Raw genomic sequence first — 25,765 nt, forward strand, 5'->3', positions numbered from 1 at the left:
GGCTGAAGCAGGAGAATCGCTTGAACCCAGGAAGTGGAGGAGGTTATATATATATGAGACATATATACACACACACACACACACAAATATAAAATATGTGTTGATATATATATATAAACATATATATATGTTTATTTGTCCCCTCTTTCCCATTCTCATTGCTGCTGTCCCTATTAAGACCTTTATCATCATTTCTTTGGCCTAATTAGAATAGCCTCTGGTCTTCTAGTTTTCATTCTTATCCATTGCTAGTTACCTTTTATTTTGTCACTAATGTGATCATTCAAAATTGCTAGTTTGGAGATAATATATTCCTGTTTCAAAACCCTCCCCTTGAGGTGTACCCAACAGCTCATTGAGAACGGGCCACGATGACAATGGCGGTTTTGTGGAATAGAAAAGGGGGAAAGGTGGGGAAAAGATTGAGAAATCGGATGGTTGCTGTGTCTGTGTAGAAAGAAGTAGACATGGGAGACTTTTCATTTTGTTCTGTACTAAGAAAAATTCTTCTGCCTTGGGATCCTGTTGATCTATGACCTTACCCCCAACCCTGTGCTCTCTGAAACATGTGCTGTGTCCACTCAGGGTTAAATGGATTAAGGGCGGTGCAAGATGTGCTTTGTTAAACAGATGCTTGAAGGCAGCATGCTCGTTAAGAGTCATCACCACTCCCTAATCTCAAGTACCCAGGGACACAAACACTCTGCCTAGGAAAACCAGAGACCTTTGTTCACTTGTTTGTCTGTTGACCTTCCCTCCACTGTTGTCCTGTGACCCTGCCAAGTCCCCCTCTGCGAGAAACACCCAAGAATGATCAATAAAGAAAAAAATAATAATAATAATAATAAAACCCTCCCCTTTGCATAGTTGCAAAAATTGAAGTTGTCAGCACAGAGTCCTGAGTAATCAGGCCCCTACCAACCTTACTAACCATCCATCTATCTATTCCTGACCATTTGTGGTTTTATTGCTGGGTCAGGGTTTTCATGCCCCTGCACATGCTGCTTTCACTTGCCTATCTTTGAAGTCTCTGCCCAAATGTCACCTTCTGGATTATCTCCACCCCAGGAGCCTTGTCACTCAATCTTTTGTGCGGCCATGGTACTCTGTAGACATTTCTGCCTTAGTGCCCAAAGTGCTTCATTATGTTTTTCACATGTGTATCTCCTGTTATTTCTAGGGCAAGGATTGTGTCTCATTCACATTTCTATTTCTAGCATGTGGGGAAAAGTAGAAAAGAGTGCACAATCAGCTTGTAATTATTGGCATTTTGGTCTGTATTGTTGGTAGAACTTCAGCCAGTTTGAATTGTTGATGTTGACTACAGTGTTACCATAAAAAATTCCTGGAGAATCTTACCTGGTGAAATTCCTGGGGAATTTGAAGTCTTATTAGAAATAATTATCGCTCACTGGAAACTTGATATAATTACTGATAGATTCCATTAGTCTTTCTGTATCAAAAATTACTAGTTGAATGACACACAGCCACGGCTGAGTGGCTGCCCTGCCCCTGTTTCCTTTCACGTTTTTGCTGCATGTAGGTGGTTGTGGCCACTGTGCCCGGAGGGAGGCAGCAGTGGCCAGTAATGCCTGGGAAACTCCTCTGGGGGTACATTATGGAACTGGAAGCACCCTTGGAGGAGTCCGAGAGCCAGAAGAAGGAGAGGCAGAAGAGCTTTATGGATATCACAGTTTCGGCTAATGGATTATGGACCTGTACTTCCCTTATATGGTTTTTATGAAGATTTAAACAAGATAAGCTGAAAATACATTACACAGTGCTGGAGTGACAGAAGGAAGTCAAGCCACCATTATGACTCAGATGAGAAATCAGAAACAAGAGAAAATGGTGTTACAGATTACCTGGATGCTCCCAAGACCAAAAAAATTAAAATGAAAGAGAAGCTAAATGGAGACACTGAAGAAGGATTTAATAGACTTTCAGATGAATTCTCTAAATCTCATAAGTCAAGAAGAAAAGATCTACTGAATGAGATATTGATGAATATGAAAAAAAAAAAGCAAGTATCATCCTTAGATAGTTCTACTCATGAATCAAGTGATAAGAAGCTAGAGGAGACCTTAACACATGAACAGAAAGAAGGAACCTTCTCCAATCTTCCTATTTCTGAAGAGACTATAAAGCTTCTGAAAGGTTGAGGGGTAACATCTCTCTTTCCTGTTCAAGTTAAGACCTTTGGTCCTGTATATGAAGGAAAAGATTTAATAGCTCAAGCACAGACGGGAACAGGAAAGAAAGACATTCTATTTTGCGATCCCTTTGATTGAAAGACTCCAAAGAGATCAAGAAACAGTTTTTTGTTTGTTTGTTTGTTTGTTTGTTTTTTGAGACAGAATCTCGCTCTGTCGCCCAGGCTGGATCTCGGCTCACTGCAAGCTCCGCCGCCCGGGTTCACACCATTTTCCTGCCTCAGCCTCCCAAGTAGCTGGGACTACAGGCACCCGCCACCACCCCCGACTATTTTTTTTTGTATTTTTAGTAGAGACGGGATTTCACCGTGTTAGCCAGGATGGTCTCAATCTCCTGACCTTGTGATCTGCCCATCTCGGCCTCCCAAAGTGCTGGGATTGCAGGCGTGAACCACTGTGCCCAGCTCTGATTGGATCTTTCTAAACTGTGCCATGTTGTGCTTGATGAAGTGGATCAAATGTTAGAGTTAGGTTTTGCTGAACAAGTTGAAGATATTATTCATGAATTCTACAAAACTGATTCTGAAGACAGTCCTCAGACTTTACTTTTTTCTGCAGCTCGCCCACAGTGGGTATGCAAAGTTGCAAAAAAATGAGTGAAATCCAGATACGAACAGATTGATGTTTTTGGAAAAATGACTCAAAAGGCTGCAGCTTCTGTGGAACATTTGGCCATCCGGTGTCATTGGTCTCAGAGGCCAGCAGTTACTGGAGATGTCCTTCAAGTCTACAGTGGGTCTGAAGGGACGGCTATTATTTTCTGTGAGACCCAGAGGAGTGTAACTGAAATAGCCATGAATCCACACATAAAACAGAATGCCCAGTGTTTACATGGGGACATTGCACAGTCACAAAGAGAATTTACACTAAAAGACTTCAGAGAAGGTAGTTTTAAAGTTTTGGTGGCAACCAACGTGGCTGCCTGTGGTTTGGACATTCCTGAAGTTGACCTGGTGATTCATGGTTCTCCTCCTCAGGATGTTGAGTCTATATCCATCGTTCTGGACGCACAGGTAGAGCTGGACAGACAGGGATTTGTATATGTTTTTATCAACCAAGAGAAAGAGGTCAACTAAGATATGTGGAACAAAAAGTAGGAATTACTTTTAAATGTGTAGGTATTCCTTCTACAATGGATTTAGTTAAATCTAAAAGCACGGATGCCATAAGGTCTCTGGCTTCTGTTTCTTATGCTGCTGTTGATTTTTTCCAACCATCAGCTCAGATACTGACAGAAGAGAAAGGGGCAGTGGATGCATTGGCTGCAGCTTTAGCCCACATTTCTGGTGCATCAGGCTTTGAACCACGATCTTTGATCACCTCTGATAGGGATTTGTGACCATGACTCTGGAAAGCCTAGAGGAAATACAGGATGTCAGCTGTGCTTGGAAAGAACTTAACAGAAAGCTGAGTAGTAATGCAGTGTCTCAGATTACCAGAATGTGCCTCCTGAAAGGAAATGTGCGTGTTTGCTTTGATGTTCCTACAACTAAGTCAGAAAGGTTACAGGCAGAGTGGCATGATTCCGACTGGATATTCTCAGTGCCAGCCAAATTACCTGAAATTGAAGAATATTATGATAGAAACACATCTTCTAATTCCAGACAGAGGAGTGGTTGGTCAAGTGGCCAGTCGGGCCGATCAGGTGGTCGATCTGGCAGCCGGTCAGTTAGACAGAGTCCACAAGGGAGTCGCTCAGGAAGTTGACAAGATGGTAGAAGATGAAGAGGGAATAGAAATCGATCAAGAAGTGGGAGCCACAAACGGAGTTTTGACTATTTGATAGTTAATCTACCAGTATGAGGTTGCCTATTTCTGCCTAATCATGTATATTATGCACCAAAAATTAGGTCATCATAGTTGAGGTATGTGTCTGCTATTTGCAAATAAATTGGTCATATTTTTTTAAAAAGTATTTCACAAGAATGATTGTAAACAGATCTACTTACCAGTTATACCTTTGAATTAAAAAACCTCTTTTTATTGTCTCTTTTTAAAAAAAAATTACTAGTTGAAGTTTTTTGTCTGTCTCAAGCAAATAAACATATTTCAGCTCTTTCTAGTTGACAGATAGTTTGACAAAAAAATGCCTGACGGGGAAATGTCCACATTTTTTTTCATCATACCTCTTCCTACTAATTAACATAATTATTAGTTATTTTTCCACTAAACTTTGAAAGGAAAGAATTCTAAAAACTGGAGTATTTTTCTTTGAAATGTTTCTTTGCAAGTAGTGGCCAATTGTGATAAAATTGTGTCCTGTTGCTCAGTCCTGTTGCTTTAGATAATTAATGTTCAGGAGATTTAATTGTAATATGCCCAGTGAGATATAAATTTAAAATTTAGAATTGTTTTTTCCTTTTAGTAATTATTTTGCCGTAGACACTGCCTCTGCTATAGCTATTGCCTTGATGACATTTGGCACTATGTATCCCATGAGTGTGTACAGTGGGAAAGTCTTACTCCAGGTAAGGTGCTTCTTCCAATGCACGTGCTTAATATTAGCCATGTTCTTCTACCAGATTAAAAAGTTGTATGTGTTGTTCTACAAGATTGTGAAATTTTTATTTTTATTTTTTAATTTTAATTTTTTTTTTTTTTTTTTTAGAGACAGGTCCTTGCTCTGTCACCTAGACTGGAGTACAGTGGTGGGATCTCGGCTCACTGCCGCCTTGACCTCCCAGGCTCAAAGGACCCTCCCACCTCAGTCTCCTGAGTAACAAACTACAGGCACACACCACCACACCCAGCTAATTTTTAAAAATATTTGTAGAGATGGGCTCTCACTATGTTGCCCAGGCTGATCTCAAACTCCTGGGCTCAAATGATCCTCTTGCTGCGGCCTCCCAAAGTGTTGGGACTATACGCGAGAGCCATCGTGCCCAGTCATAATTTTTAATTACAAAAGTTTTTTGGCCAGGAGAGGTGGCTCACGCTTGTAATCCCAGCACTTTGGGAGGCCAAGGCGGGCAGATCACAATGTCAGTAGTTCGAGACCAGCCTGGCCAACATGGTGAAACCCTGTCTCTACTAAAAAAATACAAAAATTAGCTGGGCGTGGTGGCGTGCACCTGTAATCCCAGCTACTCGGGAGACTGAGGCAGGAGAATTGCCTGAACCCGGGAGGCGGAGGTTGCAGTGAGCTGACATTGTACCACTGCATCCAGCCTGGGTGACAGAGCAAGACTCCATCTCAAAAAAACAAAACAACATTTTTTTTAATGCCCTCCCTTTAACAGTACAGATTGTGAAATTTTTAGTTACTGGAAGCCCCTGCTAGAAATGAAGTCAAACAATAATCTCTGACATTCATATAGTCAGAACCTGATGAAAGTCCATTAGCAAGTAAAATAGTCACAAATCTTCCTATATTTATATTGTGACAAAATCACAAATTTAAAGCTATTATTATTTTTCAAGTGAAAAGAATGTTACTTCTTTTTTTTTTTTTTTTTTTTTTGAGACAGAGTCTCTCTCTCTTGACCAGGCTGGAGTGCAGTGGCGCTACACTCAGGTCACTGCAACCTTTGCTTCCTGGGTTCAAGCGATTCTCCTACCTCAGCATCCCGAGTAGCTGGGACTACAGCCATGTGCCACCACGCCTGGCTAATTTTTGTATTTTTAGTAGAGCTGGGGTTTCACTACATTGACCAGGATGGTCTCAAATTCCTGACCTCAGGTGAGCCACCCGCCTTGAACCTCCTAAAGTGCTGGGATTACAGGCGTGAGCCACTGCACCCGGCCTGAAATTTTTTTTAGATATTTATTTTCCCTCAGTAAATGTGCTTTGGCTTTTGTGTAATCTGCTTATGACTATTTTATTATTTCCTGCCACTGAATCAGTGAGACTTTAAAATTTCAAACTTAAAATCTTAAATGACACATTGCTACTTACTGAAATGATAGGAACACCCTGAATATGAATAGAAAGGCAGTTTCCGGCCGGGCGCGGTGGCTCATGCCTGTAATCCCAGCACTTTGGGAGGCCGAGGTGGTTAGATGACGAGGTCAGGAGATCAAGACCATCCTGGCTAACACGGTGAAACCCCATCTCTACTAAAAATGCAAAAAATTAGCCGGGCATGGTGGCGAGTGCCTGTAGTCCCAGCTACTCAGGAGGCTGAGGCAGGGGAGTGGCTTGAACCCGGGAGGCGGAGCTTGCAGTGAGCCAAGATTGCGCCACTGCATTCCAGCCTGGGCGACAGAGCGAGATTCCAAAAAAAAAAAAGGCAGTTTCCCAGGGCCGGATGTGCGTGTAAGCACTGTGGTTCCTTCTGTCTTACCCTATGCCTTTTCCAAGACTTAGGGCAGTAGTTCCATCTCCAGAAAAAATAAAAATAAGATAATAGTTGCATAGTGCTATGCCCTATACAAAATACGACCTTTGTAACCATTTCCCAAAGATTTTTTGTTGGTTGGTTGGTTGTTTAAGTGTTATTTATCTTTTTATCTTATCTTCAAGATAAAAAAACAGGTGTGGGCCAGTTGATGATGTTGTTCCACTAGTGGGGCCAGTTGAAACCTCTCTTCTCTAAATCATGATAGGACAGCTGTCAAAGCAAAGGCTGGCTTAAAATCCTTTTGGGGAGGGGGTTCAGGACCATTGTTGGCAAACTTTTTTCCTTCCCCCATTATTCATATTTTATTGTATTTTTCCCCAGACAACACCACCCCATGTTATTGGTCAGTTGGACAAACTCATCAGAGAGGTAAGATGGAATAGTAAATAAAATCATTTTATTTTATATCAGGGAATTGAAAAGGTGGATACTTTTAATACTTTATTCAACTCTACCTAGAATTTTATTTGAGGGAAGTTCATGTTCTTCACAATAACATACTAGGAGCCATAATATAGTGGCAAACGTGGAAAAATATGAGGAATTGTTCAATTTGGAAATCAAATTCACTTGAAGTGAATGTGGAAGGTAATGGCCTAATGACCACCCTATTATAAATGCTATGATTTTTATTTATTTTATTTAGTTATTTAGTTATTTTTTTTTTGAGACAGTCTTGCTCTGTTGCCAGGCTGTAGTGCAGTGGCGCAATCTCAGCTCACTGCAACCTCCACCTCCCAGGCTCAAGCAATTCTCCTTCCTCGGCCTCCTGAGTAGGTGAGACTACAGGCGCGTGCCACCATGCCCAGCTAACTTTTTCTTTTTTTTTTGAGACAGAGTCTTGCTCTGTCGCCCAGGCTGGAGTGCAATGGTGCCGTCTTGGCTCACTGCAACCTCCGTCTCCCAGGTTCAAGTGATTCTCCTGCCTCAGCCTCCTGAGTAGCCGGGACTACAGATGCAAGCCACCATACCCAGCTAATTTTTGTATTTTTAGTGGAGACAGGGTTTCGCTGTGTTGGCCAGGCTGGTCTTGAACTCCTGACCTTGTGATCCACCCGCCTCGGCCTCCCAAAGTGCTGGGATTACAGGCATGTCCACAGCGCCTGGCCCGCCCAACTAACTTCTGTATTTTTTTTTTTTTTTTTTTTTTTTCTGAGATGGAGTCTCGCTCTGTCGCCCAGGCTGGAGTGCAGTGGCACAATCTCGGCTCACTGCAACCTCCGCCTCCTGAGTTCAAGTGATTCTTCTGCCTCAGCCTCCCAAGCAGCTGGGATTATAGGCGCCCACCACATGCCTGGCTAATTTTTGTATTTTTAGTAGAGACAGGGTTTCACCATCTCGACCAGGCTGGTCTTGAACTCCTGACCTCGTGATCCACCCACCTCGACCTCCCAAAGTGCTGGGGTTACAGGCATGAGCCACCAGGCCCGGCCTAACTTTTGTATTTTTAGTAGAGACGGGGTTTCACCATGTTGGCCAAGATGGTCTCAATCTCTTGACCTCGTGATCCACCCGCCTCGGCCTCCCAAAGTGCTGGGATTATAGGTGTGAGCCACCGTGCCCAGCCTGTTTTTTGTTTTTTTTGAGACTGAGTCTTGCTCTATCACCCAGGCTGGGGTGCAGTGGCATGATCTTGGTTCACTGCAACCTCCGCCTCCTGAGTTCAAGCGATTCTCCTGCTTCAACCTCCTGAGTAGCTGGGATTACAGGCTCCCACCACCATGCCTGGCTAATTTTTGTATTTTTAGTAGAGACGAGGTTTCACCATGTTGGCCAGGCTGGTCTCGAACTCCTGACCTCAAATGATCCGCCCCTTGTGACCTCCCAAAATGCTGGGATTACAGGCATGAGCCACTGTGCCCAGCCTTTTGTTGTTTTTTTAAAATATATATATAAAAAGAGATGGGGTCTTGCTATGTTGACCAGGCTGGTCTTGAACTCCTGCTCTCAAGCCATCCTCCCATCTTGGCCTTCCAAAGTGCTGGGATTACAGGCATGAGCCACTGTGCCCGGTCAAATGCTGTGATTTTTTTTTTTTTTCCAGGGGGTACAGGGTCTTACTCTGCCACCCAGTCTGGAGTGCAGTGCCGTGTTCTCTGCTTCCCACCGGCTAATTGTTGTACTTTTTTAGTAGAGACAGGGTTTCGCCATGTTGGCCTGGCTGGACTCGAACTCCTGGCCTCAAGTGATCTGCCTACCTCAGCCTCCCAAAGTACTGGAATTGCAGACATGAGCCACCATGCCCAGCCTAGACTTTCTTTTAAGTTGTTACAAATTTCCACCTACTAACTAATGAAGAAATAAAATAATGAACTATTTTGATGTTGAAACTATTTTAAACCTTTGATTGTCAGTGTGACAGAGGCCACTTTTACCAGTATAACTGGCTACTACTCTCAACTAGTGAAGCCTGGCCTTGAGTATGTGTCCTGTGCAACTGTACCAGTGGGCTACACACTATATATCTGGCCTTGGAATTTCTTCTAGACTCACATCCAAACAACATCCTGTGTTGTGCAGAGATTTGTTATAAGGGATTTCAGAGAAAGAAGTGATTGAGAAAACAAAAAAATTAAGTAAAAAATCTGATACCACAAAGTGCTAGATATAAATATATTCCATATTGATATGAAAAGAACCATACACTGTTGAAGAAATTGGTTGGGGTAGGGGTTTAAAACTGAGCAGTGGGGACCTGATTCTAAAAGAATTGGGGCAAGCAAGAAACGAGGAAAGCAAGGTCTTGGGTCAGTATGGAACAAACAGGAATGGTATCTTGAGTGGTCTGAGACTTCTCTTAGCTAATGAGTGTCCTTGTGCAGGATTTGGCTGTCATTCTTAAGTTTAAACTAAGTCCATAATGTGACTAAACTGCATTGGATATGTTAAGTACAGACAACTCTGATCACCTCTTTCTGTTTTTGGTAGGTATCTACCTTAGATGGAGTTTTAGAAGTCCGAAATGAACATTTTTGGACCCTAGGTTTTGGCTCATTGGTATGTTCTTTTACATATGACTTTAGTTATAATTTAAAATATAGTCTTCCATTTTTAAAACTGAAAAAAAATATTTCCTTAAAATTTTTATAGAGCCTTTGATTCCTAGTTATGTTAAGCAGAGTCTAAAATGTACATGAATTCAATTACCTAATTGAGGGATTTTTTGGTGTTTAGAGACAGGGTCTCACTCTGTTGCCCAGGCTGGTGTTGAACTCCTGGCCTCAAGCAGTCCTCCCGCCTTAATCTCCCAAACAATAGAGGAATGTTTTTATTTTTTTTCCATCAAACATGTTAATGATAATAATACAGGAGTGTCCAGATAAGACAAATTTGTAGTCAGTGTAATTTCCAAATAAGAAAATGTTAAAAAAAATTAAAAGTGCAATTGCTTTCTTTTTTAACTGTAGTTCTCATTTTGGAGAGTTTGCTGAATATTTTGAAGAACTACAGTAACACAACTTGCTTCAGCATAAAATTTCGTATTTTCTAATTCAGTTTGAACCTCAATACCAGAGAGACTTTATTATGACACGGTTTTACTCGTACGTTAGGAATGATGAGGAAAATACAGAAAATGTAAAGCACTATAATCTTATCATCTAAAGAAAACTGCTGTTGATATTTTGGTGTTTATACATTTATTTTCCTTAGAAAATGAGATCACGGGCTGGGCGTGGTAGCTCACGCCTGTAATACCAGCACTTTGGGAAGCCGAGGCGGGCAGATCACCTGAGGTTGAGAGTTTGAGACCAACTTGGCTAACATGGTGAAACCCCATCTCTGCTAAAAATACAAAATTAGCTGGGCGTGGGGTGTGGCACACGCCTGTAATTCCAGTTACTCGGGAGGCTGAGGCAGGAGAATCTCTTGAACCCGGGAGGCAGAGGTTGCAGTGAGCCGAGATCACGCCATTGCACTCTAGCCTGGGTGACAGAGTGAGACTCTGTCTCCAAAAAAAAAAAAAAAAAAAAAAACAACAGAAAATGAGATCATGCTGTTTTATAATTAGCTCTTTTTGTTTAATTAATTTATCATGAACAGTTTTCTATGTCATTAAATACTCTTCTACAGTATCATTAAAAAAAACAGATAGGGTTTGATTTTTCTAATATAACACAAATTTTATAGATAAACAGATCAAAGCTGGTCTAGCAGTTCAATGATATTACCCACTTTGCAGTCTTTAGTTTCAGGCTATGCTTTTGTAGTGGGAAAATGGTTGCTTCACCTCCACCTTCCCCAACTCTTTCCCTCTCTCATTATTTTGGATGTCTAAAACTTATTACAAGAAAAACTTGAGACTGTAACATCCCCTCCCTCCTTACTGGGAAGGTGCCAAATGACCAGAGTGTCAAGAGACCAAAGAATGACTTGGACAGGTCCAGCATGGCCAGTAGGTGAGTTTGTTAGGAGTTACCTATGGGGCACTCCTGGGAAGCAGGACAGCTTTAGAGATCTACCCACCTCCCATTTCTAAGCTGCTTTTAAGCTAATTTTCTCGCTCTTTGCCTGCTGTATGTGTGTAATGAGACTGTTTTCCTTGGTAGGGTCTCAGATGCTCTCTAAAATCTTTGGTTCTCAGGGTCGCTTGCTCCTCGACTGTACACCATGGCTTTGGCTCATTGCCTGGCCTTCAGAGTTCGGGCAGCGGACATACATCATCGAATAACCTAGTGGGGGACCCACCACACTACACTTCTTTAAATTCTTTAGAAGGGGCCGTTGGGAACAATATTCTCTAAATTCTTGAATGTTGAAAGCAGCTTGTGGACATTATAATTAAAAATTAGTTTGATTGGATATAAACTCTTCAGTACACATTTGTTTCAAGTTTCTTAAAAACACATTATCCCTTTTATTTCTGGCATGAAGCATTTCTGAGACAATGCCTAATGATAGTCTTAATTTTTTTCCTTTTATATGTCACTTGGTCTTTTTGCCTGGATGCCCAAAAGATTTTTTTTTAAGTTCAGTACCTTTACTAGAATATGTCTTGGCATTGGTCATTCTGCATGAGTTATTTCAGGTATGCAGTGCACCCTTTCTTCTTTTTTTTTTTATTTTTATTTTTGAGACGGAGTCTTGCTCTGTCGCCCAGGTGGGCGTGCAGTAGTGCAATCTCGGCTCACTGCAGCCTCTGCCTCCAGGGTTCAAGCGATTCTCCTGCCTCAGCCTCCCGAGTAGCTGGGATTACAGGCACGCACCACCACGCCCAGCTAATTTTTGTTTTTTTTTAGTAGAGATGGGGTTTTACCATGTTGACCAAGCTAGTCTCAGACTCCTGACCTCAAGTGATCCTCCCTCCTTGGCCTCCCAAAGTGTTGGGATTACAGGCATGAGCTACTGCGCTCGGCCCACAGTGCACGCTTTTGATAATGCTGTTTCAAAAATAATTTTTTAAAACATCTAATTGTATTTTGTAATATTTGTTCTATTCTCTTTCTTTGGTTTTCTTTTGTGGAAACTTCTGTTATGTGCATGTTAAATATGTTGGATCTTTGCCTTTCTTACTGTTATTTTCTTTCAAATTCTTATCTTTTAATTTCCTTTTGATTTTTTTTAACCTTTTGTGTCTCTTAAAGTATACCTGTATGTTTCCTTATGTTTGTGTTTGTTCTGAGTAAGTCTTCATTTCTAAAGTGATCTTTTTTTCTTGTATTACAATTGTCATCTCATTTCTAAGGTTTTCTAATTCTGATTTATGGTCTTGTTTTATATCTTTTGATTGGTTTTTAAAAAGTAGGTTATAGTTTTTATCTGACATGTAGTTTTATCTGTCTGGTGATCTTTTATAATCTGTTTTATAGTCTCTTTTTCTTACATAACTTTGTGTGGGATTTGACCCTCTCTTCTTTTCTGTTGCTCATTTTTATGTGAAATTAGTTTTCCTGAACATTAAAATTAGGAGTGGTTTAGGGTAGTGTGTACAAATTCATGGGTCTAGAGCTCCATCTTCTGATGATTTTGTGAACGAAGAAAGATTTTTGTTCTGGCTTTCTTCCTCTCTGCCATTTTTACCTTTTTTTTTTTTTTTTTTTTTTTTTTTTGAGACAGGGTCTCACTCTGTCGCCAGGCTAGACTGAGTGCAATGGCTTGATCTCGGCTCACTGCAACCTCCGCCTCCCAGGTTCAAGCGATCCTTTCACCTCAGCCTCCCCAGTAGCTGGGACTACAGGTGCATGCCACCATGCCTAGCTAATTTTTGAATTTTTTGGTAGAAACAGGGTTTCACCATGTTGGCCAGGCTGGTCTCAAACTTCTGACCTCAGGTGATCTGCTCTTGGCCTCCCAAAGTGCTAAGATTACAGGAGTGAGCCACTGTGTCCAGCATTTTTTTTTTTTTTTTTTTTTTTTTTTAAGGAGACAGCGTCCTGCCCTGTCACCTAGGCTGGAGTGAGTGGTACAGATATAGCTCACTGCAGTCTCAAATGTCTGGGCTCAGATGATCCTCCTACCTCAGCCTTCCCAGTAGCTGGGATTACAGGTACACGCCACCATGCCCAGCTGATCTTTTTAATTTTTTTTGTAGAGACAGTCTTGCTGTGTTGCCTAGGCTGGTCTTGAACTCTTGGCCTTAAGCACTCCTACTGCCTTGGCCTCCCAAAGTGTTGGGATTACAGGCACGAGCCACTGTGCCTGGCCCTGCCTTACATTTTTATCTGAACTTCTTCTGTCCTTTGTCTCAACTGTACTACTCAGTTTGGATTCTCTTGCCAATGTTTCTTTTTGATATGGAGCTTTTTTTTTTTTTTTTTGGAGGGGAGCTTTGCCTGGTTACTTTCGAGACTCATAGGGCTCAGACTATTCCAGCCCTTATTGCAGACCCAGTGTATTTGCCCACTGTTGTAATGTGCAAAACTCCTCCCAGTTGCAGCTGCTTTTCTCATATTGGCTGTCCTAGATTTCCATTAAGTCTTGTTAGCCGCTTTGGGGTTTTTAGGTCAGTCAGATGTGCTGTTGCTTCCTGCTGCACAGATTGTGTTACCTTGAAGGTCTTACACCTTTTATTTGGGTTTTCATAAGGGTACTAGGTTACTTTCTTTGTTTTAATGGAAATATTTGAGGCATTTCAAACACTGCCACCACTGCTGCCATCTTGCAAGAATCCCAACATAATTTTTAGTTTTCTTAGTTTTACATTATCTAAATATGCCATAATTTATTTCATAAGTCCCTTAGTGAATATTTAGATTCTCTTCTATTTTTCCTATATTAACAGGTCTAGGATAAACTTTTTTTTTTTTTTGTTTTTGTTTTGAGACGGAGTCTCACACTGTCACCTGGGCTGGAGTGCAATGGCATGATCTTGGCTCACTGCAACCTCCGCCTCCTGAGTTCAAGCAACTCTCCTGCCTCAGCCTCCCAAGTAGATAAAAACTAGAAAGAAGCTATCTGTGAAACTGCTTTGTGATGTGTAGATTCATCTCACAGAGTTAAACCTTTTTATTGATTCAGGAGGTTGGAATCTCTCTTTTTGTAGAATCTGCGAAGAGACAGCCGGGATTACAGATGCCCCACCATGCCCCACGTCTGGCTAATTTTTTGTATTTTTAGTAGAGATAGGGTTTCACTGTGTTGGCCAGGCTGGTCTCGAACTCCTGATCTTGTGATCTGCCCGCCTCGGCCTCCCAAAGTGCTGGGATTATAGGAATGAGGCACCATGCCCAGCCTGGGATAAACATTTTTATGGGATAATCTTTGTAAATATCCATGATTATTTCTTAAGATTAATTTTTAGAAGTTTTTGTAAATCTGAAAATATTCACATTTTTATGGCTTTTGATGCAAATTCCCAAATTGCCTTCTAGAATGCCTTTTAGAACTACACACCTTGAGTCTTATGTTCATTTTTAACCATTCTTTCCTTTATTTTTTTAATTAATTAATTTTTTAAAATATGGAACGCTTCATGAATTTGCATGTCATCTTTGCACAGAGGCCATACTAATCTTCTCTGTATCGTTCCAATTTGAGTATATGTGCTGCCGAAGTGACCACTTAACCATTCTTTTAATTGCGTTAATGACATTGGATGGCTTATAAACACAAAGAATATAGTCATCAACTCAGAACTTGGCATCTAGAAACCACACCTATGAAGTCCCTGGTTAAGACCCAGGAATTTAATAAAACAAGCTTTTGAGCTGCTAAAAGTTAATATCACAAAAGCCATAGATTAACGCATGCACTGTAATTATAGGAGACTTTTCAAGTTCATACTCTGAAAACAGAGTTTCCTTATTTTAATTACTTTGATTTCCATATCAGACTGAAAGAGGATATGGCATCTTTAATACTTAGGTAGTGACAACTGTGAATGGTAGTGGCAAAAGAAAAGGGAAAAATCAAAGATGACTTGATTTCAAGACGTGGCTTGTCTTAGCTAAAAGTAATAAACTGGAAGTCAAATTCAAGGAATATAGATATTTTCTCTGTCTCATGATTGACAGTAGCTCTCTTACTATTTTTCTGTATTTTGTATTTCAAGTCATAGATTCAGATACAGTGTTACTAAACAATTTGGCTAATTTATGTGCAGTTTATGTTTTGTAAGAATTTTTTTCTTTTTTGAAAATCTGTGTTTATTTAGAGACCAACATGGAGTGTCTGCTGGACATTTTATTTAATTTTATTTACTCTCTTTTTTTGAGACTGGGTCTGGCTCTGTTGCCCAGCCTGGAGTGTAGCGACATGATCTTGGCTCACTGCAACATCTGCCTCATGGGCTCAAGCCATCCTCACACCTCAGCCTCCCAAGTAGCTGTGACTATAGGCGCGCACCACCACGCCTGGCTAATTTTTGTATTTTTTGTAGAGATGGGGTTTTGCCATGTTGTCCAGTCTGGTCTCAAACTCCTGAGCTCAAGTGATCCATCTACCTCAGCCTCCCAAAGTGCTGGGATTACAGGCATGAGCTACCATGCCTGGCCATCTATTATATATATATATATATTTTTTTTTTTTTTTTAAGTTCTTATTAGGCAAATAGTACCCAATTGTTAAGAAAATAAAAACTTGTAACTAAGTCATAAAAAAGAGAGTAAATATCCTTAATAATTCTGCCATCTAGAGATAAATATTGTCATCCTTGATACTTGTCTCTGTTCTTCTGTTTTTTATTTTTCTTTATTTATATCTTATTTTATTTTTTATTTATTGAGACAGGGTCTTGCTCTGTCACCCAGGCTAGAGTGCAGGGGTATAGTCATGGCTCACTGCAGCCTCAACCCTCTAGGCTCAAGCAGTCTTCCTGCCTCAGCCTTCCTCGTAGCTGGGACTGCATATGTGTGCCTGGCTAATTTATTTTTTATAACGATAGAGTCTTGCTATGTGGTCCAGGCTGGTCTCAAACTCTTCCTTAAGCAATCCAACCTAGGTGCCCATCAATCCTAGGTGTTATTGGGCACCTAGGTTGATGCCATGCCTTTGCTGTGTGAATAGTGCTGCAGTGAACATCCAAGTACATGTGTCTTTTTGGTAGAAAGATTATTTTCTTTTGGATATATACCCAGTTATGGGATTGCTGGGTCAAATGGTAGTTCTGTTTTAAGTTCTTTGAGAAATCTTCAAACTGCTTTTTAGAGTGGCTGAACTGATTTACATCCCCACCAACAGTGTATAAACACTCCCTTTTCTCTGCAGCCTCACCAGCATCTGTTGTTTTTTCACTTTTTAATAATAACCATTCTGGCTGGGCGCGGTGGCTCATGCCTGTAATCCCAGCACTTTGGGAGGCCGAGGCAGGCAGATCACCTGAGGTCAGGAGTTCAAGACCAGCCTGGCCAACATAGCGAAATCCTATCTCTACTAAAAATACTAAAATTAGCTGGGCATGGTGGCGTGGGCCTATAATCCCAGCTACTTGGGAGGCTGAGGCAGGAGAATTGTTTGAACCCAGGAGGTGGAGGTTGCTGTGAGCTGACATTGCGCCACTGCACTCCAGCCTGGGCAAGAGAGCAAGACTCTCTCAAAATAAATAAATAAATAAATAAATAAATAAATAAATAAATAAATAAATAATAATAATGATAGTAGCCATTCTGAGTAGTGTAGGATGGTATCTCATTGTGGTTTTGATTTGCATTTCTCTGCTGATTAGTGATGATGAGCATTTTTTTCATGCTTCTTGGCCACTTGTATGACTTCTTTTGAGATGTATCTTCATGTTTTTTTCCCATTTTTTAATGGGGTTGTTTTTTGCTTGTTCAGTTTTTAAGTTCTGTATAGATTCTGATATCAGATCTTTGTCTGATGCATAGTTTGCAAATATTTTCTCCCATTCTGTAGGTGTTTCTTGGTTGTCTCGCAAGATTCTTACAGTTTTGAGGTCTGTTTTTTTTTTTAGACGAAGTCTAGCTCTGTCACCCAGGCTGGAGTGCAGTGGCATGATCTCAGCTCACTGCAACCTCTGCCTCCTGGGTTCAAGTGATTTTTCCTTCTCAGCCTCCCAAGTAGCTGAAACTGCAGGCATTTGCCACCACGCCCGGCAAATTTTTTTTTTTTTTTCCATTTTTGTAGAAACAGGGTTTCACCATGTTGGTCAGGCTGGTCTTGAACTCCTGACCTCAGGTGATCTGCCTACCTCGGCCACCCAAAGTGCTGGGATTACAGGGCATGAGCCATAGCACCCTGCTGAGGTCTTAAATTTAAATCTTTAATCCATCTTGAGTTAATCTTTTTATATGGTGAAAGTGAAGGTCCAGCTTCATTCTTCTGCATATGGCTAGCTAGCTATCCTAGTACCATTTATTGAATAGGTAGTCCTTTCCCCACTGCCTATTTTTGTTGACTTTGTCAAAGATCAGATGGCTGTAGGTATGTGGCTTTATTTCTGGGTTCTTTATTCTGTTCCATTGGTCTATGTGTTTGTCTTTTTACCAGTACCATGCTGTTTTGGTTACTGTAGCCTTATAGTTTGAATTCAGGTAATGTGATGCTTCCAGCTTTGTTCTTTCTGCTTAGAATTTCTTTGGCTATTTGGGCTCTTTTTTGGTTCCATATGTATTTTAAAATATTTTTTTCTACTTCTATGAAAAATGACATTGGTAGTTTGATAGTAATAGCATGGAATCTATAGATTGCTTTGGACAATATGGCCATTTTAATGATACTGATCTTCCAATCCATGAGCGTGGAATGTTTTTCCATTTGTTTGTATCATCTGTGATTTCTTTGAGCAGTGTTTCATAGTTCTCCTTGTAGAGATCTTTCACCTCTTTGGTTAGATGTATTTCTAGGTATTTTATTTCTTTTGTGGATATTGTAAATGGGATTGAATTCTTTTTTTTTTTTTCTTGATACAAGGTCTCTCTTTGTCACCCAGGCTGGCGTGCAGTGGTGCAGCCACTGCAGCCTCGACCTCTAAGGTTCAATCAATTCTCCCACCTCAGCCTCCTGCGTAGCTGAGTAGCTGGCACTACAGATGTGTGCCACCACGCCCAGCTAATTTTTTTTATTTTTTGTAGAGATGGGGTTTCACCATGTTGCTCAGGCTGGGGGAGTCTGTGTGTGTGTGTTTGTGTTAACCAAAATAGGATCATTTGCTGATTATCTACTTTAAAAACATAATTTATGGACCGGGCATGGTGGCTCACGCCCGTAATCCCAGCACTTTGGGAGGCTGAGGCAGGAGGATCGCTTGAACCTAGGAGTTCGAGACCAGCTTGGGCAACACGGTGAGACCTCATCTCTACAAAGAAAACAAAAAAACAAAACCAAAAAAACCCATAATTTATGGTAAACACTTTTTCAAGTTAACAAATATACTTCTAACTCTCATTGTAATGCCTGGTGTTCTCTATCCCTTAGAAGCCTTGATATCATCTTTGATGAGTCAATCTTCCTCATCCTTTACTTCCAGCTGGGTATCAAGTCCTTCCATTACTACCTCTGGAATATGATATATCTGTCTGTCCCTCTCTGATCCCACTATTTTTGGCCTGGCTCAGCTCTCCTCTTTTGTTTTGTTTTGTTTTGTTTTGTTTTGTTTTGTTTTGTTTTGTTTTGTTTTGTGACAGAGTCTTGTTCTGTCTCCCAGGCTGGAGTGCAGTGGCATGATCTCTGCTCTCTGCAACGTCTGCCTCCTGGATTCAAGTGATTTTCCTGCCTCAGCCTCCTGAGTAGTTGGGATTACAGGTGCATGCCACCATGCCCAGCTAATTTTTGTATTTTTAGTAGAGACGTGATTTCGCCATGTTGGCCAGGCTGGTCTCAAACTCCTGACCTCAGGTGATCCACCTGCCTTGGCCTCCCAAAGTGCTGGGATTATAGGCATGAGCCACTGCACTTGGCAGCTCTCCTCATTTATAATCTAGATTGTTGAAGTTTTTTTCCTACCTGATTTCCAGTCATCTATACCTACAATTTTTCTGAACTCTGATTATTTATTTCTGTTAGGTTGCAGATGTTAAATTGAAATTCTTTATCATTTTAGAGTCCTCTGGTAGCCTCTTTTTAACCTTATTACCTACCTATCATTTTTCTTTCTTCCTTCTTCCCTTCTTCTCTTCCCATGCTGGGAGTGCGATGGCGTGATCTCGGCTCACTGCAACCTCCGCCTCCCAGGTTCAAGCAATTCTTCTGCCTCAGCCCCCTGAGTAGCTGGGATTATAGGCACATGTCACCACACCCGGCTAATTTTTGTATTTTTAGTGGAGGTGGGGTTTCACCATGTTGGTCAGGCTGGTCTCGAACTCCTGACGTCAGGGGTGATCCGCCCACCTCAGCCTCCCAAAGTGCTGGGATTACAGGCGTGAGTCACCACACCCAGCCCTTTCCTCTGTTTCTCCTTCTCTTCTTTCCTTCCTCTCTTCCTTCTCTCCCTCTCTTCTCTCTCCCTCCTCCTTCTTCTGCCCCCTGAAATACTTGGACTTCTTTTTTTTCTTTTTCAAGATAGGATATCACTCTGTCACTCAGGCTGGAGTGCAGTGGTGCGATCTTGGCTCACTGCAACCTCCGCCTCCTGGGTTCAAGCTGTTCTCCTGCCTCGGTCTGCCAAGTAGCTGGGATTACAGGCACACGCCACTATGCCTGGCTAATTTTTTGTATTTTTAGTGGAGACTGGGTTTCACCATGTTGGCCAGGCTGGTCTCGAACTCCTGACCTCAGGTAATCCACCCACCTCGGCCTCCCAAAGTGCTGGGATTACAGATGTGAGCCACTGCGCCCGGCCAGGACTTCTTTATATATTGGTATTATTGCTTATTCTTACCAAGTATGCCATACATTTTCATTGCTTTTCCCTCAGTGTGGAATGCGTCTCTACTTTTTGAAATTCTGTTTAATCACCAACCGTAGATTAAATGCCATCTTCTTTTGAAGTCCTCTTCAATTGGAATTAATACCTACCTTTTCGGCTCTTACATTGTATTTTTTGTATGTTTCATTTATATTCTTCCTTGTATTATAATATTCCTATCTTGTTCCTACATGGATATTTCTTTTTTTGTATTTTAAAGATTCACAAATTATTTAACTCATTACAATGATAATCACCAGCAAGTAGTCTTTAAGAAATATTAACATTAAGCTTTTTCTTTCAAAGAAAATGCCAGGAACTTACCAAATCATAAATAAAATGTTTTATCTAATGAATTTTTTGTTAGTATAATTCTAAGCAATCTCTTTGTTATGATTTTGCCCCTTTTAGGCTGGATCAGTGCATGTAAGAATTCGACGAGATGCCAATGAACAAATGGTTCTTGCTCATGTGACCAACAGGCTGTACACTCTAGTGTCTACTCTAACTGTTCAAATTTTCAAGGATGACTGGATTAGGCCTGCCTTATTGTCTGGGCCTGTTGCAGCCAATGTCCTAAACTTTTCAGATCATCACGTAATCCCAATGCCTCTTTTAAAGGGTACTGATGATTTGAACCCAGTTACATCAACTCCAGCTAAACCTAGTAGTCCACCTCCAGAATTTTCATTTAACACTCCTGGGAAAAATGTGAACCCAGTTATTCTTCTAAACACACAAACAAGGCCTTATGGTTTTGGTCTCAATCATGGACACACACCTTACAGCAGCATGCTTAATCAAGGACTTGGAGTTCCAGGAATTGGAGCAACTCAAGGATTGAGGACTGGTTTTACAAATATACCAAGTAGATATGGAACTAATAATAGAATTGGACAACCAAGACCATGATAGACTCTAACTTATTTTTATAAGGAATATTGACTCCTTGGCTTCCAATTTATTTAGTAATCCAACTTTGCATTGACTGTTTAATCATTTACTCTAAATGTTAGATAATAGTAGTCTTGTTCACATTTCATGAAACCTATGAAACTATATTTTTGTAAAATGTATTTGTGACAGTGAAATCCTCGTAAATGTTAAAGGCTTTAAATAGGCTTCCTTTAGAAAATGTGTTTCTTTAAATTTGGATTTTGGTATCTTTGGTTTTGTAGTTGACTGCAGTGTGATGTGACCTTACCTTTATAAGAGCCACTTGATGGAGTAGATCTGTCACATTACTAAGATACGATATTTCTTTTTTTTTCCGAGACGGAGTCTTGCTCTGCCACTGTGCCCGGCCAATACATTATTATTAACTTAAGGCTGTACTTTATTAAGGCTTCCTTAGTTTTTGTTTTGTTTTGTTTTTTGAGATGGAGTCTCACTCTGTCGCCCAGGCTGGAATGCAGTGGCATGATCTCAGCTCACTGCAACCTCTGCCTCCTGAGTTCAAATGATTCTCCTGCCTCAGCCTCCCGAGTAGCTGGGATTACAGGCACCTGCCACCACGCCCAGCTAATTTTTGTATTTTTAGTAAAGACGGGGGATTTCACCATGTTGGCCAGGCTGGTCTTGAACTCCTGACCTCATGATCCACCCACCTTAGCCTCCCAAAGTGCTGGGATTAGGTGTGAGCCACCGCACCTGGCCGATATTTTCTTTAATGAAATTTATAAATATGCTTCTTGAATAATACACATTTTGGGAAAGGGAAAAATGTCTGTTCAAAAAGTAAAAGTCTCTTTTATAGCTTTTCCAAACTTAATTGCTAAATTTTTCTTTGAGGTTCTCCTGAATTATGTCTTACAAACTAAAAGCAAAAATTTTTAGCAGAAATTTTGGAATACATTCTATCTAGCACAATTTGAATTTTTAATTATCAAGATTTTTGTTAAAGTTTCTCTCCTTTAAAAATTTTAGTACATTTGTAAATAGTCCATGGTTCTCAGTGTTTTATTTTGATTAAGTGACTACCCAACTTTTGGTGATATGCAGTGAAAGAATCCCAATTTTCTATGTTACATTTAATCAAATACTGACATAATGAATTTATCTTTCCTGACACATTTTCATTCATTGGCTTTTTAATTTCTTATTTTATTAACAAAATATATCAGATATATTACCAAAACACATGGAGTTCCATACATAATATGGAATTTGATGTCTTTTCAAGTTGCACAAAGAATTTGAGCATATATAATTTTACCAAAGCATAATGGACCTTAGATTATAGAATACAGCATTGTTAGGTCTGCAGTGGGCAGTTTCTTTTTGTTTTGCTTTGTCAAAAATGGGAAATTGTTAACTGTGATGAAATGTGAGAATTACATAGATTATGTTATTTTTTAGTTGTTTTCCAAATGCAGAGTTTAAGGACTTTCTAACATGGCTAGTATTACTTCCAAAAAGTATAACAAGCAGCAGTCACACATGACCTAGGAGGGTTTTTTATTGTTTTATTTTATTATGCATTCCATAACAGTTTTAAAATGGGATTTTGAGAATGGACTTAACTTTCCTGGAATCCAATGCTCCTGGAGATTTATGACTTTCCCAGCCATCAGCCAGCTATCTAGAGAAGATTTTTGTTTTTCTTTTGCAACAGTTTCTTCAGTCAACTCATTCACTTTCAAATAGGAGCAGCACTTTGAAATCCTTTTTCTTCACTGTGGATTAAAAACATCCAAGAAGCCATCTCTGTCAAGCAGAATTGTCATCTGTGGTAATAAGTGACCATGTCCTAAATACCTTTTTCTTAGTGAGGAGTTGGTCATTGTCTTTGGCATCTGCAACCCCTGTTCAGGCATGTGACCTGCTAAAGAAATACAGCCTACACTACCTTGACTACTGGGGAAAATGATACTTCGTAAAATGTAATAAGGCAACCTGTTCCTTGGCCTTTATCTTATGTTTTCCAACTATTACTGTATCTGTTATTGGTCTACTATTACAGGATGATTCTTCTTCCTCCATTGATCTCAACTAAATATGAATTAGGGTCATGCATGAAATCTGAACTGCCGTGTCCTGAGTTATGGTTAAGAGGTATGTGCTGCCACCCCATGCATGTCTTCCCCATCCCCATAGGATTTTAAAGTGTTCAGGTACCAAACACAGTTCTGTGTGAGGTTTTATGCCTACTTCCTCAACACCAATTCAGAGGCAACACCTGTGCATCTGTCCCACCAAAGGTGCTTTAATACCTACCTTCACTATTTGAGAAAGGACACTCACAGTTGCCTGTGGGTTATGAAAGAATTGGCCCTACGTCCTGCATGTAAGATGTTACAGGGGACATTGGGCCAGGCATTATTATATAGAGAAGTCTTATTTGCCAAGCTCTGACTAACTTCTGGATATGAAAATAAGGAACTTGCCCAGCATAGGCCTATAGGCAGCAGCCTTACTAGTAAATCTTGCCACAGAATCACTTGAAGCTAGACAGAGAAAGAAGTTCAATTTAAATATTTGTCCCATTGTTTGTGATTAGGATGTAAGCTTTGTGGAATGTAATTAACCCTGCTTTACGAAGTCACCATATTATAATAGGAAAAACACTGCCTAGGAGGCAAGAGATCTGAATTCCAGTTCTGATGCTGCCACTGTGTAAGGAAGTAGTTTTATAACCCATGGGCAAATCATCTGAGCTTTCTCATCTGTAAAGTTAGGGAGAGGAATTAATTAGTTGATCTGTAAAATAATCAGCTTCAAAACGTTATGGCTAAATCTGTAGAATGTATGCCCAATTGCTAAACGGATGTTGTGCCCAGAATTTTATCTAGTGACTACCTCAACATACAGGCCAAGCGTTACCTACACCAACACCCAAGCCATTAATTTGAGGTGCCATGAGAATAGGTGAACCACAGCCTAACACCATTTAGGTTTTTGTGTTTTTTTCAGGCTTGCCTCTACTTAAATATATTTAGATGAGAGAGTTCTCTTAGACTTCTTTCTTTGTAAGGAAGGGTTATTTGGGGAAGTGTTGGAAAAAAGATTAGGGCAGGGTACCCTTAGTTTATATAGGGTACAAAAGAATGGGAAACATCTTCCCTTTCTTCTTTAATCTCTGAAGTCATGTTTGGAATTACATATAATGTAGCAGGTACTGGAGAGGACCTGAATTTCAAGCTTCTGATTTAGCTGTTTGTAAACTTCCAAGTTTTGCTTGACTAAAGAATGCTGATCTTTTTTGGGAGTCTGATCTCCTTCTAATATCAGAAAGTGCTTTTTATATTCCAGATTGCTTGAATTAAACTGTTTGGATTAAAGAACATATATGGAGTTTCCTCTCTGGTTTTAAATAATCTTTCTTTATTCAGTAGCTATTAATAATTTATCTCATATTCAGCGAATATTTATTGAGAATATTGTTGAGAATCTCTTACATGCCAGGCACTATACTAAGTTAATATGCATTCAGTATACCAGTTGGTGTGACCCAGACCAAAGGTAACACAAAGATGAATGAGAATTCCTTCAAGGCGCCGATAATCCTAGTAGGAGAGCTAAGACACAAAACTGTTGCATGTTTTTAATCATCAAATTAAACTTCTTTCCACGTCCTTATCTTCTTTGGCATCCTTTTGCAAGATTTTTTTTAACTACCAGGCTTAAAATAATGAGGTCCCAGAGCACTTACTGGCTTCGAGTACACTTTATTTAAGCAGTTACTAGTTTAAAAGCACCTGTAATAACACTGAGATCATCATCATCAAATTGCCACCCAACAAGCCTAGCTTCTTGCAGAAAAGTTAACTTGGATAACACTTGGCTAAGTTTTCTGACTAATGCTGGATCAGGTAGAAATTCTTTAGTACTAAAGTCAAAAAACACTAATTGCTTAAGATTCTCAAATACACCCATGAAGGCAAGCCATCCATCACTGCTCACACGATTTCCCGCCAAATTCAACTGCTGGAAGTTTTTCAGAGGGTTCTTTCCAAAAAATGCACCTGGGTAAAGAAATAAGTATATTAGTTGGAAGAAAAATTTTTTTTAAAAAAAAAGAGAAATAGGTTCTACATTTATTTTACATACTTTTTTTTCACTCTGAAATGGCCATGTTTGAACCAGTGCTTTGCCTCAGAAAGAAATTATTAATATAATTCTCTATAGCTAGGGCAGTGATTGTGAATATGGTCTATTATATTTTCCTAGAGTATAAGGGAATCTGATAAATAGTGATTCGTAGTGAGGTAGCAACAATATGTAAATGAATTACTTTTTTTTCCCCTTTTCCTTACTCCTAGGAAATGGAAGGTTGCTTTAATTAAATATTCAGTACTTGTTTTCAAAACTGGAGTCAATCTTTGGCAATATTAAGTCGTTTCCTCTTCTGAAAAAGTAAACACCACCTAACTGTTGTTTCTATGGGTATGTTCCTAACTGTAAACTTGAGTAAGTGAGCCTCCTTCAGTATCTAAAGATTTGGGTGTTTTTGTTTACCTGTTTATGTATAACCCTCCCGAGCCTCTTCAGGAAGTTCCTCCATTCCTTACAGAATAGGGCACCTAAAGTATTTCCTACATAGGGTAGGTGGATATCCTGTCTTTCTGATACACAAAGAATGCACACACACACACATACATACAAAGGATGTGTGTGTGTGTGTGTGTGTGTGTGTGTGTGTGTGTATACATACACAAATAGTTTAGTGTTCATTCTTTATCCCATGTTACCAGTTTAGGTGGTACTGGAACCCAAGTGAGTCTTGCAATAAGAAAAAATACCTTTCTTTCAGGTTATTTACCATCATACAGATTGGCCAGTATACAACATTAGGATTTCACAAAACTAGCTCTGTGTTAATTACACATATTAAATTGTGCAAAGCGTTAGCCCTACCCACCTACCTGGCCCTTTCTGGATGACTAAGTTCACCTTGAAGTACAGAGTGGACAGACAGGCAGACTGGACATGGGAACTCTTACTTACATGTTTATACTCCAGAGTATCACACACAA

The 25,765-nt window shown here is 40.1% G+C and overlaps 2 protein-coding genes and 2 pseudogenes across 20 annotated transcripts in view; 2 read left to right on the forward strand and 2 right to left on the reverse strand.

Annotated features, from left to right (window-relative positions):
* The window catches only part of SLC30A6 (solute carrier family 30 member 6), a 58,516-nt gene extending 34,148 nt beyond the window's left edge, over positions 1-24,368 (forward strand). For 10 of the 16 annotated variants that reach the window (XM_047444944.1, NM_001330479.2, XM_011532962.4 and 7 more), the window contains 4 exons: positions 4,579-4,681; positions 6,875-6,922; positions 9,482-9,550; positions 20,202-24,368. In XM_047444944.1, the coding sequence (XP_047300900.1) occupies positions 4,579-4,681; positions 6,875-6,922; positions 9,482-9,550; positions 20,202-20,702 (721 nt within the window). In that variant the 3' untranslated portion in view covers positions 20,703-24,368. Of the gene's footprint in view, positions 1-4,578; positions 4,682-6,874; positions 6,923-9,481; positions 9,551-10,885; positions 10,951-20,201 lie in introns of all 16 variants that reach the window. The other 6 variants (XM_011532963.4, XM_047444946.1, XM_011532959.4 and 3 more) reach the window with 3 other exon arrangements.
* Positions 1,519-4,207, forward strand: DDX50P1 (DEAD-box helicase 50 pseudogene 1; annotated as a pseudogene).
* On the reverse strand, positions 14,445-14,551 carry RNU6-647P (RNA, U6 small nuclear 647, pseudogene; annotated as a pseudogene).
* NLRC4 (NLR family CARD domain containing 4) overlaps positions 24,438-25,765 on the reverse strand; it is a 41,295-nt gene continuing 39,967 nt past the window's right edge. For 3 of the 4 annotated variants that reach the window (NM_001302504.1, NM_021209.4, NM_001199139.1), the window contains one exon: positions 24,438-24,754. In NM_001302504.1, coding sequence (NP_001289433.1) covers positions 24,462-24,754 — 293 coding nt within the window. In that variant the 3' untranslated portion in view covers positions 24,438-24,461. The remainder of the gene's footprint in view (positions 24,755-25,765) is intronic. The other variant, NM_001199138.2, reaches the window with a different exon arrangement.

The sequence above is a fragment of the Homo sapiens genome, chromosome 2 (genome assembly GCF_000001405.40).
Source record: "Homo sapiens chromosome 2, GRCh38.p14 Primary Assembly".
Classification (NCBI taxonomy): domain Eukaryota; kingdom Metazoa; phylum Chordata; class Mammalia; order Primates; family Hominidae; genus Homo; species Homo sapiens.